We start from the raw sequence: 14,537 nt of genomic DNA, 5'->3' as shown, positions 1-14,537 counted from the left end.
CTCACCTCTCCAGAGAGCTTTGCCCATTGAAGACAAACCAATGCATAGACTTATACCCAGCCCTGCACTGTTAGGGCTCTACTTGGCCATGAGCAGGGTTAGTGTGAAACCAATCAACAAGTATTGTTTGTTGTTGTTGTTGTTGTTTTGAGATGGAGTTTCGCTCTTGTTGCCCAGGCTTGAGTGCAGTGATGCAATCTTGGCTCACCGCAGCCTCCGCCTCCTGGGGTCAAGCTATTCTCCTGCCTGAGTCTCCCGAGTAGCTGGGATTATAGGCATGCACCACCACGCCCTGCTAATTTTGCATTTTTAGTAGAGACGGGGTTTCTCCATGTTGGTCAGGCTAGTCTTGAACTCCCAAACTCAGGTGATCCACCCGCCTCGGCCTCCCAGAGTGCTGAGATTTACAGGCGTGAGCCACCGCGCCCGGCCAGTATTGCTTTATTACACAAGGCACAGTGTTAGGGCCTGTGACCATGACGTTTTTTCAGGTAATATTTCTTCCTTGAGCTAAGGAGGCCAGTTGTAGGAATGAGCACTAGAAAGCAAGAATGTCAACAGTGTTAGATGGATTTTATATGATTCATTACTTCAAGAGAGAAAATTCATATTGTGTGGTTGATGGAATTCCTTACCTTTTTAAAATCAGATTACACCCATGCTAATTTGGTGGATAAGGCATTGCAGCTCTTGAAGGAAAGAATACTGAAAGGAGACACTCTGGCATATTTCCTACGAGGTCAACTATATTTTGAAGAGGTATCATTTTTTGTTTATTCGTTTTCATTTCCTGTAATTCTGTTGTTAGATCCTCAGACAAAAATTTCATGTAGAGTTTCTTACTGTGTTATACTAGGGAAATTCTGTCCAATTACATCGACTATGGCTGTGGCTTTAACAGTAGGATACAGTGCTGCCAGCTTGAGGAGCTACCTGACTTTTCTTCATAAAATCCATGTCATGAAAGCCATTTATGGGAGTCGTTTTAGTATAAAATCCATTTCACACTATAGATTAAAAATCAAATTTTTATATTTTTGCTCAAAATATTTAATAATACAAATTATATTATCAGGCCGGGTGCGGTGGCTCACGCCTGTAATCCCAGTACTTCGGGAGGCCGAGGCAGGTGGATCACCTGAGGTCAGGAGTTGTAGACCAGCCTGGCCAACATGGCTACACCCCATCTGTACTAAAAATACAAAAAAAAAAAAAAAAAAAAAAGTAGCTGGGCATGGTGGCACACATCTGTAATCCCAGCTACTTGGGAGGCTGAGGCAGAGAATCGCTTGAACCCAGGAGGCAGAGGTTGCAGTGAGCTGAGATCGTGCCACTGCACTCCAGCCTGGGCCACAGAGCGAGACTCCCTCTCAAAAAAAAGTATGTTTGTATTACCAGGTATCTTCATATTAATAATAATTGAAGCCTTGATTTTTATCTAGTACTTAGGGGAAGCTTTAGTTGTTCCTGGATAGCATAGGAGGAAATCGCCCTCTTTCTCCACATCTTGTTGGGGTGGCCTGGGAAGTAGACTGAGGAATGGCTATGCCAGCTGTCCCCTCAACTTCAGTAATGTAGTTTCGGTTTTTCATTGACTTCCCCGGGAAGACTTGAAAAGGGACTGACTGTCTTTCACCATTTGTTGACTATTTGGGCAGCTGTTCACCTATATCCCACTTACTCTCTCACTTTTCGATGGCACCTTCGTCTATCCTGGCAACAAATGTTTGCTGAGGGCTCATCGTGCGCCTGTTACTCTGAGGATGGCAGAGCACCATGGCTGAGAGCATGCTTCCTCAGCGTGGGGCATGGGTTCAGATATGGCTGCATTGCTTGTTAACTGTGTGTTTAACTTGGGCACAAACACTTGACCACTTGGTGCCTTTGGGATTACTTTAAGATCATAATAAAAATAATTAAATATCTTCTGGGTGCTTCTAGGGATGGTATGAAGAAGCATTAGAACAGTTTGAAGAAATCAAGGAGAAAGACCATCAAGCAACTTACCAGCTAGGAGTGATGTACTATGATGGGCTGGGGACCACTCTAGACGCTGTAAGTTAATGTCTTGGTCACAGTGGTTAAGATTTCATTGTCAGTGGATTATTGGACACAATTAAAATTATTTATATTTTAATACATATATATATACATATATATATATATATATATATATATATTTTTTTTTTTTTTTTTTTTTTTTTTTTTTTTTGAGACGGAGTCTCGCTCTGTCGCCCAGGCTGGAGTGCAATGGCGCGACCTCGGCTCACTGCAACCTCTGCTTCCCGGGTTCGAGTGATTCTTCTGCCTCAGCCTTCACAGTAGCTGGGATTACAGGCACTGCCACCACGCCTGGCTAATTTTTGTAGTTTTAGTAGAGACAGGATTTCACCATGTTGGCCAGGCTCTACTAAAAATACAAAAATTAGCCAGGCATGGTGGTGCATGCTTGTATTCCCAGCTACCTGGGAGGCTGCAGTGAGCCAAGATCATGCCACTGCACTCCAGCCTGGGTGACAGAGCAAGACTCTGTCTCAAACAAACAAAAACCAAAATATATTTGATTGTCCAATATTATTTTCTTCTTTTGGGTGATGTTTGAAGGTTTGTGTCTGATGGATTTGGGGGTGGAGGGTACAGATCTGTTCTTGCTAGTGGTTAGAATATCTTCTATGCTTTCCTTGTGACCACGTAGCAGATGTCGTATTAGTGCATAAGATTTGTATATTAGATACAAACTATGAGCACACAGTAAAAGTATGCTTGAATGGAAGACGGTGTTTGTTAGGGGCTCGCAAGTGTATCGTAAGAATTATAAATGTGAAAGCTGTTCCTGGCCATTCTTCCACTTTAGCCAGTTCTAAGAACTGTGCTGATTCAGGATAAGGGTTATTAGATGGGAGGGAGGAGAGAAAAAAGGAAGCCCATATCGAGACTTAAATCAACTCAGGCAGCTGTAAAAGGAAGGAAATTTCTTATATCCCAGAGCTCCTGGGAGTGCCTGAGTAGGAGATGTACTTTTAGAGATTCTTTTCCTCCTTATCGCTTGCCCTGCAGAATCCAGGACAATTGTACCCCTTGGGCACAGATTCATAGTATTATACATCGTGTCAGAGGGCGGACACTTCACAGCCTTATTGGGAGAAAGAAATTCAGTTTGGGTAAAACTAAAAACTAGGGTTTTTTTGCTCTTTCTTTTGTCGAAGGAGAAAGGGGTGGACTATATGAAGAAAATTCTTGATTCTCCATGTCCCAAAGCAAGACACTTAAAATTTGCAGCTGCTTACAACCTCGGAAGAGCTTATTATGAAGGAAAAGGTGTTAAACGATCAAATGAGGAAGCTGAAAGGTAATCCTACCTGAGAACAAGATTAGGTTTGAAGGAAATGCTGAAACCGAGAATAACATGCCTCACTTTCTCTTGTAGACTGTGGCTTATCGCAGCAGACAATGGAAATCCCAAAGCTAGTGTGAAGGCTCAAAGTATGCTCGGGCTGTATTACTCAACCAAGGAGCCCAAGGAGTTAGAAAAGGTAACGTTCCCTCTTTTTTAATGCTAGTGTTATATTTAGATTAATATTTGTTTCACTGCTTTTTTTGAGAAAATGGTGGGGAATGTCGTTTTAAATATCTCTTATAGTTCCTTTAAATGTAAAGAAAGCATACATTTTAGGATCTCAAAGCCCTTTTATTTATAAATGTCCCCTTCCCTACCTCTACCGAAGGAAACCATGAATGTGAGAGTATTTTGTATACTATAGTATCAAAGCTAAAAGAAGAGAAACAGTCCTGAAATTACAGCCAAAATCCTTCTAAGCATGAACAGATGAATATTACCGTTGACTTGAGAAATTGATACTAATAAGTAAAATATACCAAGAATTAGTTACAAATAAAATCCATCTAAGATTTTCACAGAAATATAATCTCTTTCATCAATGGTTGAAACAGTTTCCAAAAAATCCTATAAGGAGAAGGAAATGGGGGCTGAGTCCTACTTGTGAGAGAGGAGTTAATGGCAAATTTGCAAGAGACACATAACAACTAAGGCCATCTTTGGATAGATAAGCAGCCATCTGGAATTTTTTAAATGAATTCAAATTCACTGTAGCAGAGTATGAGGCAAATGTGCTTGAGCCTACATACAGCGTTTATCCTGGGTTGTCTTTGATCGCAGCAGCTGCTATCTCTAGAATCCACCGGGAGCTCGAACTCTCCCTTAGCATCAGTGGTTTCCCCTCCTCTGCTGTGCCTCACGCCTTTCAGACACTGAGTTCCTATTTGGCATCTTCCTGATCCTTACTCTGAAGATCCCCAAATCCTGAAACCTAGGACAGCTGGTCTTCCTCTGCCATAAGCTGCCTGGACTGTGATCTCACCTGCACTGTGGACAGACAGCGGAGGAACTCGCCTCCACACTGTGTTAGGCATGTGTGCTAGTGTGAAATGCGTCCAAAGGCCTACCGCTCTTTCCTAGAGATGATTAATAGTGCTATCTAGGAAACACAGAGTTCTTTTCTGTCTAGTATTCCCTTATAATTTCATCTAGTGGATCACAAATACAATGATGAAACTGTGCTTTTCTTAGGCATTTTACTGGCATTCCGAAGCATGTGGCAATGGGAATCTGGAGTCCCAGGGTGCACTTGGGCTCATGTACTTGTATGGACAAGGCATCCGGCAGGATACGGAAGCTGCCCTGCAGTGCTTAAGAGAAGCAGCAGAACGCGGAAACGTCTATGCTCAAGGGAATCTCGTGGAGTATTACTATAAGATGAAATTTTTTACAAAGTGTGTTGCATTTTCCAAAAGGTGAATGTCTTTGTCTGTTCTGTGCTGCTGTAACAGAATATCACACACTAGGTAATTTATGAGAAACAGAAATTTATTTCTCACAGTTCCAGAGGCCAGGAGAGGGCTGCAACCTCCAGAGGGGAGGACCATCATGTCCTCACGTGACAGCAGAAAGCTACAGGAAACCTCTTTTATAAAAAGGGCTTTAGTCCTATTCATGAGGGAGGTGCTCTCATGGCCTCGTCGCCTCTTAAGAGCCCCACCTCTTGATACGATCACACTAGCAACACTGGGATTTCCAAGGGAACTTACTAGTCAAACCATAGCAGTAATGTTTGAATAAACTGGATGAAAGTATTGATAAGAATGCCTACTACATGTTCTATGCCAAATCCTTCACAGAGCTTTCTGCAGTATTAGAAATGATAGCTATTGAGCACTTGAAATGTGTCTAATGCAACTTAGCACTAAACTTTTAAATTTTACTTAATGTAAATATTCATATGGCTGGTGGTTACCATACTGGATAGCACAATTCTATGCCATTAGCCTTCAGGATTTCAGTGCTACTAGCTGAAGCAAGTTTTTTAAGCAGCAATTGCCTTATCTGTAAGAAGAGAATACCTTTATAGCAGGATTATAATCATGTACTTAACACAGCTTGGCATGTCACACATTTATTACGTCTTCATTTCTTCCTGCACTCCTCGGTCATGCAGTTCTATAACTGCACCACTGAAATACAGCTTCATAACAACTGTAACATGAGAATATGGTTAAAAGACTGACACTATATCTAATAAAATATAAAAGACGTCTTTTCTCGGAGTCCGTAAGGCTCCATGTACTTTCCTACACGTATTTACCCACAGTGTATAAAAGCAGTGGGTCGGGGAGACAGACCTGGGTGTACTCTAGAGTGGCCATCAGACTCTGCGTGTGCTGGTGTTTCCCAATCACACCCTTCCCACAGCGCCAGGTCTCCCCCCTCTCCGAGCCCTAGCTCAGGGCAGTCATCTACAAGAGAGGATGAAGGGAAGGAGGGGCTGCTTCTACCCCGCTTCCCCAGCGTCTCGGGCTCCAGGCAGCAGACCACTTACAGGAGTGATTGCCAGTGTCTCAAAGCAAGTGCCCATCTTAGTTAGAACTAAGACTTTAAATCATTCTTTAAAATCTTCGGCGCTTTCCCTTATTTTCCACATCCCTACTCCCTATGACATTGAGGTTAACATGGAGTTGACTGGATCACATTCTCACACAATTGTACATATTTGTGTCTGGGTATAAAGGATGACTTCTTTCCATTATCCTTTTTTTTTTTTTTTTTTTTTTTAGACGGAGTCTCGCTCTGTTGCCCAGGCTGGAGTGCAGTGGTGCGATCTCGGCTCACTGCAAGCTCTGCCTTCCGGGTTCACGCCATTCTCCTGCCTCAGCCTCCCGAGTAGCTGGGACTACAGGCACCCGCTACCATGCCCAGCTAATTTTTTGTATCTTTTTTAGTAGAGACGGGGTTTCACCATGTTAGCCAGGATGGTCTCAATCTCCTAACCTCGTGATCCGCCTGCCTTGGCCTCCCAAAGTGCTGGGATTACAGGCGTGAGCCACCGCGCCCAGCCAATTGTCTATTTTTAAAGAAGATGTGCTAGTGAAAGGGTTTTCTGGTCCTATGTGGCTAACGTCCAAACTGAAGGTTGATGTTTCCATACGTGATCCAAAGAAATAGAAAATGCTTTCTTCTCCGTTCAGTTTAAATCCACAAAGTGACATTAAACTTCCAGTAGTAATATTAGAAGAAAAAAGAAACATACCTTTGTTTTCCAGTGGTTATTGAGCCTGCTGAGCATAATTACAGAGACATGTGAAGTCACCACTCTGGGAAGCTCATCTTCTCCTGGTATGAGGTGCCTACATGGACCCTTCCCCACACAGCAAACAACTTAGTTCTCAAAGCAGTAGAGAGAAATCACTTCAGGCACAAGGACAGTCTCTAGGCGCATCGTTTTACAAACACTTACCATAACTGATGTCTTTTCCATTTCACAACTCTACATCCTCTCAGGATCGCTGACTATGATGAGGTTCACGACATCCCCATGATCGCCCAGGTCACAGACTGTCTCCCGGAGTTCATCGGCAGAGGCATGGCAATGGCATCCTTCTACCACGCAAGGTGTCTTCAGCTTGGCTTGGGCATCACCAGGGATGAAACAACCGCTAAACACTATTATTCTAAAGTAAGCTTTAGAACAAAATATAAATTCACCCAAAGAGAAACTGCCAGGCTTTTAGCTGCAACTTGAATAGTTTTACGGATTAGTGTTTTTTCTACTCAATTACTGTGCAGATAACCTCTGTCTACAGAGAAGCTGTCAGACATGCAGATTGTTTGCAGACAATTCTGTCAGAATCTTATTAGCATAATTTAGCTCCAATGATTAAAAGTCCTATTTTGATGCAAATTACTCTTTCATTCTGCTACTATCTGCAGCCTAAGGCCCAGCACCAAGACCTTAAAGCTGAACAGTTTTTCTTTCATCTAGAACAAGTGTGAATGTATACGTTCATTCTAGTACAGTAATGAAGTTTTTTATTCTAGTACAGAGTTTAAAGTTTTTTTGAGCGTGACATCTACCCCACTTAGGCGGGATATTTTTGAGTTTGAGGTAATCAGTTAAAATAAGTCTTTCATATTTTAATCCATGTGATCAATTTATTTAGATCCCAAATGCGTTTCACATCTCAAAGTAAATACTAAAAAGCAAGGGGTGTGGTAGTGGAGGGGGTGTAAGGGAGATCATTATGAGTACTAACTCTTAAGTTTAGATTTTTTTTAAAAAAAGAAAAACCAAAAAGCTGTGCACATCTTAGGTCCATCACATCCACGAGTCAGAATTACATCATAGCAGACTTGGTAGAGCAGTGTTTGTGGAACACAGATTGTTCAGCCTGAGTGGGGGAGTCTTCTGAGTCCCTTGGCTGACTCTGATATTACAGCAGTGGTTCCCAAGCTTCTCTGCATGTTAAAATCACCCGAGGATCTTTTACAAATTCCAAAGTTCAGGCCTTATTTCAGAAAATTTCAATCATGGTCTCTAGGAGACAGAAGCGTATTTGTTGAAGTTCCCTGTGGGATTCCAATGTCAGGTAAGTTTGGGAACCCTAAATTACTTTAAAATTAAAACTTCCAGAGCATCAAAGCCATATTAAAACATAAACATAGACACATAGCACACAGCCAAATGCAACTGATCTTTAAGATATTTACCTCTACACCATTCTTAGCATGAATAACAGTTGTCTAACTTTTTTCATTTAAATGTTCTCTGTACTGGCCAGGCACAGTGGTTCATGCCTGTAATCCCAGCACTTCGGGAGGCTGAGGCAGGCAGATCACTTGAGGTCAGGAGTTCGAGACCAGCCTGGCCAACATGGTGAAACTGGGTCTCTACTAAAAATACTAAATAATCCTGTCTCTACTGAAAAATAAAATTAGCCAGGCATGGCAATGTGTGCCTGTAAACCCAGCTACTCGCGAGGCTGAGGCAGGAGAATTGCTTCAACCTGGGAGCAGAGGTTGCAGTGAGCCGAGATCACACCACTGCACTCCAGCCTGGGACTCTGTCTCAAAAAAAAAAAAAAAAAAAAAGCTCTCTGTATTACATCAATTTCCAAACCAAGCCGATTTCAGGTTCTATCCTATCCTTAATATCCTTAGAAAACTCTAGTCAAATATATTTTGAAATATACTATATAGTCATCCTGACTAGAACAACAAAAAAAGTCCAGGTACCGTGGCTCATGCCTGTAATCCCAGCACTTTGGGAGGCCGAGGTGGGAGGATTACCTGAGGCCAAGAGTGTGAGACCAACCTGTCCAATATGGCAAAATCCCATCTCTACTAGAAATACAAAAATTAGCCCATCATGGTAACGCATGTCCATAGTCCCAGCTACTCGGGAGGCTGAGGCATGAGAATCGCTTGAACCTGCAAGGAGGAGGCTGCAGTGAGCCGAGGCTGTGCCGCTGCACTCCAGCCTGGGCAACACAGTGAGACTCCATCTCAAAAAAAAAAAAAAAACAAAACAGATTCCAATCTGAGAACGATTTTCCATACGATGGGAGAAAATAGCCCCATTACTCTGCAACTAGGATACTGTACTCTAGGACTCTAGGATACACATCTAGAATACTGTACTCAGTTTAGGCCATTGTACATTATGGGGATACTGATAAAATGGAGATCATTTAGAGGCAGTAAACCAGTGAAGGGTCTGGAATGATATCATATGACGCATGATATGAGGAACAGAAATGGTCTCCCTCAGAGCAAAAGGACACAAGGTGTCCCGACAGCGGTGTTCACTGGACCGGCAGTGTCCCGCAGGAAGGGAACGGGTTGGGAGGGAGAGGCAGTGTCCCGCAGGAAGGGAACAGGTTGGGAGGGAGCAGAATCAGTGCCCATGGCAGGCAGTGTGTTATGGCAGAAGGTGAGGCAGTAAGATGGTAACTGGGACCTGGAGGCGACAGACCCAGGCCTGCTCTCGGCTCTGCCACCGTCAGGCAGGGTGACTCCCACTTCCTAGAGTGTTAGGTTTCTGTGAAACCAGCATTATGTATTCTGTTAGGACCCTTCGAGGATTCTGGAGTACATGGAGAGAAACACCAGCCTAAAATAAGGGAAAGTTTTCTTTTTTTTGAGACGGAGTCTGGCTCTGTTGCCCAGGCTGGAGTGCAGTGGCGCAATCTCGGCTCTCTGCAAGCTCCGCCTCCCAGGTTCACGCCATTCTCCTGGCTCAGCCTCCCGAGTAGCTGGCACCACAGGCGCCCACCACCACGCCTGGCTAATTTTTGTATTTTTAGTAGAGACGGAGTTTCACTGTGTTAGCCGGGATGGTCTCGATCTCCTGACCTCGTGATCCATCCACCTCGGCCTCCCAAAGTGCTGGGATTACAGGTGTGAGCTACCGCGCCCGGCCATAAGGGAGAGTTTTCTAACACAACAGTTCAGGAAACAAAGAAAAACACAAGTTTTCTCTGAAGGTGAAAACTTCTACATATGTAGAATGTGTAACTTCCTGCTACTGGAAGCAACCAAGCAAATACCTAGTGACCAACTGTCGTGGGTACTGAAGGGACAATTACTGCATAGAATGGGGTTTGGATGAGAGCTCTATATCCCAAATTGTTGACATTCTAGAAATTATGCACCTTGTCACTATTTAGACATAATAAAATTATTTTAGCTGTATATTTTAAAATAAAATTTTACAGATGCTGTTATTCACATAATGAGATCATAACAACTTTGAGGCCAAATGTTAATGCTCTCCATTTTACTTATTTTAATAATTCATAACATACAATGCTATCATTGGTGCTTAAGTTCCCTTTATTCTTGGCATTGATAAAATATCTCTTTCAAATGAGAATAACATGGTTATTTTGAGTATTGATCTATTCTGCATAGGTTAAAGTAGGACATCAGAATAGAAAGTATCTTAACAAATTTTCTTGAAATTCACTGTACTTTACTATTCTTAAAAATGAATCAAAAAAGAAAAAAAAAAAAAGAAGAAAGACCCAAACAATTAGAATGTATCTAAATATCTGACTCTTTTTGATTTTAAGGCTTGTCGTCTGAATCCCGCATTGGCAGATGAACTTCACTCCTTACTTATTCGTCAAAGAATTTAGACCACAATGTATTTCAACAAAGATCATCAATGCTAACACCTCACAATGTGTGTATTTTTACAGTAGCTATGTTTGGTTATTTTGCACATCACAAATTACACTATCCTGGGTATTTTACAGGTGACATGTTACTTCGTTCTTGAATTCGTACGCTGTTAAGTTTTGCAACTTGAAACCTAGACACAAGGTCAAATTGCTGGAAGAGTCCTCAGAGGTCCACCTCTTACCCTACAGACTGGCCGAGACCATATCAAGTATTAAAACCATTCTATACAGCAAGTATCGTTTATCCTTTCTTAAACACCGAGTCTCCAAAAATACTTAGTTTAGCTTTAGTTTAGTAAGTTCAGAAGTAGAAACAAACTTATTTAAAACCATCATTTGAAAGTTTAATTCTTTAAATTTGTCTCTTAGTTTTGTGAATTTTGAATAATAATGTTTAAATTTTGTTTCAGTCATTTAAAATTTAAATTTTCAGTCATTTAAAATTTTAAAAATTTAAAATTTCACAAAACTAAGGGTAAAAGACATTTAAAGAATTAAACTTAAATAAGTGTGTGCAGCATTTCTACTTCTGAAGTTATTAAAGCTAAAACTGCACTAAGCCTTTTGAGACATCCTTTATTCTTAAAAAGCTCATAAATAATTGGCTTATTACATATAAACTTCAAAAAAGTGGGTTATAAGACATTGCTTTAGAATCTTGCCCCTCCAAATCTTCCCTCAAAGATCTTAATGAGTAAAACAACTGCTACATACATATGCAGAATGTGTAATAAAACAAAAAGCAATTGCTATATGAAAATATTCGTAAGAAAAGTAAAGCAAATTGTTTCTTTGTGCTTCAGCTCATTTTCCATATTTTTAAAACCCTGTGGTAAAAGCCTCAATGAAATCATTTACAAGAACTACAATTAAATATTGTTAAAATTAGCAAAAGGCTTTCCGTATATAGATGACATCTATGAAGGCAAAAGGTGACAGTAAAAACAGTAAGATCCATATGCATAAGATTGTACAAGGCTATTCATTTGTGAAACAAATATACATATCGAAGACAGGTCTCAGAGATACCTTAACTATTCCTTTTTTTATAAACATATTAAAGGATGTGGCTTTATTTTATAAATCACAACCATCCCAACAGTGGATTTAAACAAGATTTCTTTTTAGTAATGGGAAAATGCAATTAATATGGAGGTGATAGTCACTAAGAACTGTTGAATGGCAGAAAAGTATTTGCTCTCGTTTTATGTTCTGGCTTGTCTGTATTGCCTGAACTTCATTTTGTCTTTGTGTAAGGGAAGAAATTTCAACAGACTCGGGTTTGAGATATCCTCAAATGGTCATGTATTTCTGTCTCAAATCTCTTAATACCACCCATGTAACATTCCTTCAACCACTTGAAGATCCAAATTCCCAACTAGTATTCTCTTCTCCACACTTAATCCAGTTCCTAAAGATTATTATTATTATTATTATTATTATTTTTTTTTTTTTGAGACGGAGTCTCCTGACCTAATCTTAGCCCGGCGCAGTGGCTCACGTCTGTAATCCCAGCACTTTGGGAGGCTGAGGCGGGCAGATCATGAGGTCAGGAGTTTGAGACCAGGCTGGCCAACGTGGTGAAACCCCGTCTCTACTAAAAATACAAAAATTAGCCGGGCGTGATGGCGGACGCCTGTAGTCCCAGCTACTCGGGAGGCTGAGACAGAAGAACTGCTTGAAACCAGGAGGCAGAGGTTGCAGTGAGCTGAGATCGCGCAAATTGCACTCCAGCCTCGGTGACAAGAGCGAGACTCCATCTCAAAAAAAAATAAAAAGAATCTTAAAATAGGAACATAATAAAAGATCGGCCCTAAGTAAAGAGCACTTTTTAAACTGCCATTAAAGATGGGTTTCAGAAATCATAAACTTTGACGTGTGCCATACATGGTAACATGCTATGCTTATATGTCTTCTATAAATCCAATGCAGAATTTAAAATTTCAGTTTACTCTAGTTACCATAAAGCTAATGCTCTGGCACAAGCGAGTCCCTGCAAACTACCACTGCTGAGGACAGTAGTAAACCCCTTGACCTGAGACTGCGGTGAGTCTGTAACTCGAGTGCATTGAGACTTCCAGATCATTACTCTTACACACACACACACACACACACATACACACACACACACTCCTTCTCTAAGATTCCTTGTAGCTGATATCTCATGGAAAAATGACATTTTATCATAAATAAATATAGAGACAAAATAATAGTGATCTTTCTCATTCGCAATGTAAACTTAACAGCTACAGTTTAAATGATAGCATAGAATTATGCCTAAAATAGACATTTCCCATAATTGTATTGTGATAAGTTCTTCAGGCTTGACAACTTCACATTGCCTCTCTTCCTTGAATGTATTTTATCTGGTCTTTTCTATATAGTCTTTTGAAGGATAATTTTTATCAATAGCCAACTTTGGGTATTTTTTTAAGTGTCAAATATCATCATGGTTTGAAAAAAGGATAAAAAAGCTATAACTAAAAAAATCTTAAGGATAACATTTGGTTTACTAATTTTTAATCATTTATCTTTCAGAACTTGTTTCTTATCAAGAAGTTAGCAGGTATGATATGTATATCATACGTATATAAACTGGCATAGGTTACATCCTAGGGCATGAGGGGAGTATCTTTCAGGGATTCAAATGGAATTTTTACCTGTTACTTGTTTAATTGTTTTGTTTTCAATATTCTTGGGGATTAGACAGGGGAAGGTATTTTATTACTGCATAATAGATGGTGAAACCCAGGAAAATTAAGTACTTGTGCATGGCCCCACTATCAATAACACAAAGTCTGTACTCTGGATCTCCCCTAATGTCCCTGTGGTCTAAACGGCTTGATAATACAACCGAGCCCCTGAAGTAGCTGCCCTCCTCTTTCCGCTCCCCCATCTCGGCCCTGCCCATACTCCAAGGGTCAGCTCCCATCTCTCCTCCCTAATGCCTCACTTCAAGCACTAATTTGGCTCTTTCTGCTCACTAAAAATCATATATTTTACAGATTTATTTTGTTTCTGGAGAAGGCAGCAAACTTTTACTTCCCTGCAGAAGTAGTTAAGTACATAGTGTTTTCTCTAAAAAGGCATTTGATAAATATTTGAACAGCCTGTAGAGTTTCAACCTCTTTGAGATATAAGTATCTTAAATATCATAGAGCACTGTGATTCATTTTTATATTTTATTGCTTTGAATGCTCAAACTATGGGAAATCTTTGGTAAAAATAAAGACAATAAAATCTTCACAATAACTTTACACAAAGCATTGCATAACAATGTTCTTCAATATACATGAAATAATATAAGAATGTTCACAGTCCTCAGTGAGGAAATTAACTGTACAATATTCATAGTTCATTTTAAAACAAAATATTTTCATAAATATTTAAAATACTTCCTAGGTTCTCACATATTAACATTTGTATTTCAATCGGTATGTTGATCTTTAAAGTATTCATATTAAATTAAAATCAATAGAAGTTTTTTTCTGTTGCCTACCACAGCATAAGTCCCGTCCTCCCTGATTCTACTAATTTCACATAAAACTAGAGGGAGGTAACTAAAATAAAAATCAATACGGTTCTCAGTTAAGCCCTCTGTGGAAAAGAGGAAAATGTTTCATGTCTATTATTACACAGACATTTTTCTGGTGGTTTATTTGTGTAGTCTCAAACTTGGCCAGCTTTAAGTTGATCTAAATGAACTCTCAGCTCAGGACACAGTTCAATTAGCAGCAGTTCCATCAGCGCCTGAACCAACAAAGAAGGAAAAAAGTGGAAAAATGTTTTTCTCCAAGGGTTTATTCAAAATAAATATCTGCATCTAAGAGAAAAGTCTAATTTTAGGTCTGAAATTATCTCAGTAAACAAGTAACTCTCAAACAGTATTTAATATTGGTAACTATAATCAGAGATGACTGGGAAACAGTTGGCTTTGCTGAAATAAGAAAACCAACCAGTTATGCGGCAATGTGATATCAAAAGTCAAGGGAGGATGGGCGAGG

The 14,537-nt window shown here is 40.3% G+C and overlaps 2 protein-coding genes across 21 annotated transcripts in view; one reads left to right on the top strand and one right to left on the bottom strand.

The window, feature by feature from the left end:
* Positions 1–13,796, top strand: part of LRP2BP (LRP2 binding protein) — a 33,416-nt gene extending 19,620 nt beyond the window's left edge. For 9 of the 15 annotated variants that reach the window (NM_001377443.1, NM_001385601.1, XM_024454135.2 and 6 more), the window contains 7 exons: positions 650–759; positions 1,942–2,055; positions 3,207–3,349; positions 3,428–3,533; positions 4,589–4,812; positions 6,854–7,028; positions 10,423–13,796. In NM_001377443.1, coding sequence (NP_001364372.1) covers positions 2,020–2,055; positions 3,207–3,349; positions 3,428–3,533; positions 4,589–4,812; positions 6,854–7,028; positions 10,423–10,488 — 750 coding nt within the window. In that variant the 5' untranslated portion in view covers positions 650–759; positions 1,942–2,019 and the 3' untranslated portion in view covers positions 10,489–13,796. Of the gene's footprint in view, positions 1–649; positions 760–1,941; positions 2,056–3,206; positions 3,350–3,427; positions 3,534–4,588; positions 5,159–6,853; positions 7,029–10,422 lie in introns of those variants that run through there. The other 6 variants (NM_001377442.1, NM_001385605.1, NM_001385604.1 and 3 more) reach the window with 4 other exon arrangements.
* The window catches only part of SNX25 (sorting nexin 25), a 174,406-nt gene that overhangs the window by 975 nt on the left and 158,894 nt on the right, over positions 1–14,537 (bottom strand). For 4 of the 6 annotated variants that reach the window (NM_001317781.2, NM_001378032.2, NM_001378034.2 and 1 more), the window contains one exon: positions 13,702–14,283. In NM_001317781.2, coding sequence (NP_001304710.1) covers positions 14,203–14,283 — 81 coding nt within the window. In that variant the 3' untranslated portion in view covers positions 13,702–14,202. Of the gene's footprint in view, positions 1–5; positions 539–6,602; positions 6,711–6,809; positions 7,034–7,482; positions 7,919–13,701; positions 14,284–14,537 lie in introns of those variants that run through there. The other 2 variants (NR_186775.1, NM_001423234.1) reach the window with 2 other exon arrangements.

Source organism: Homo sapiens, chromosome 4, assembly GCF_000001405.40.
Source record: "Homo sapiens chromosome 4, GRCh38.p14 Primary Assembly".
Lineage (NCBI taxonomy): Eukaryota > Metazoa > Chordata > Mammalia > Primates > Hominidae > Homo > Homo sapiens.
This window is presented reverse-complemented; position numbering and strand designations above follow the sequence as displayed.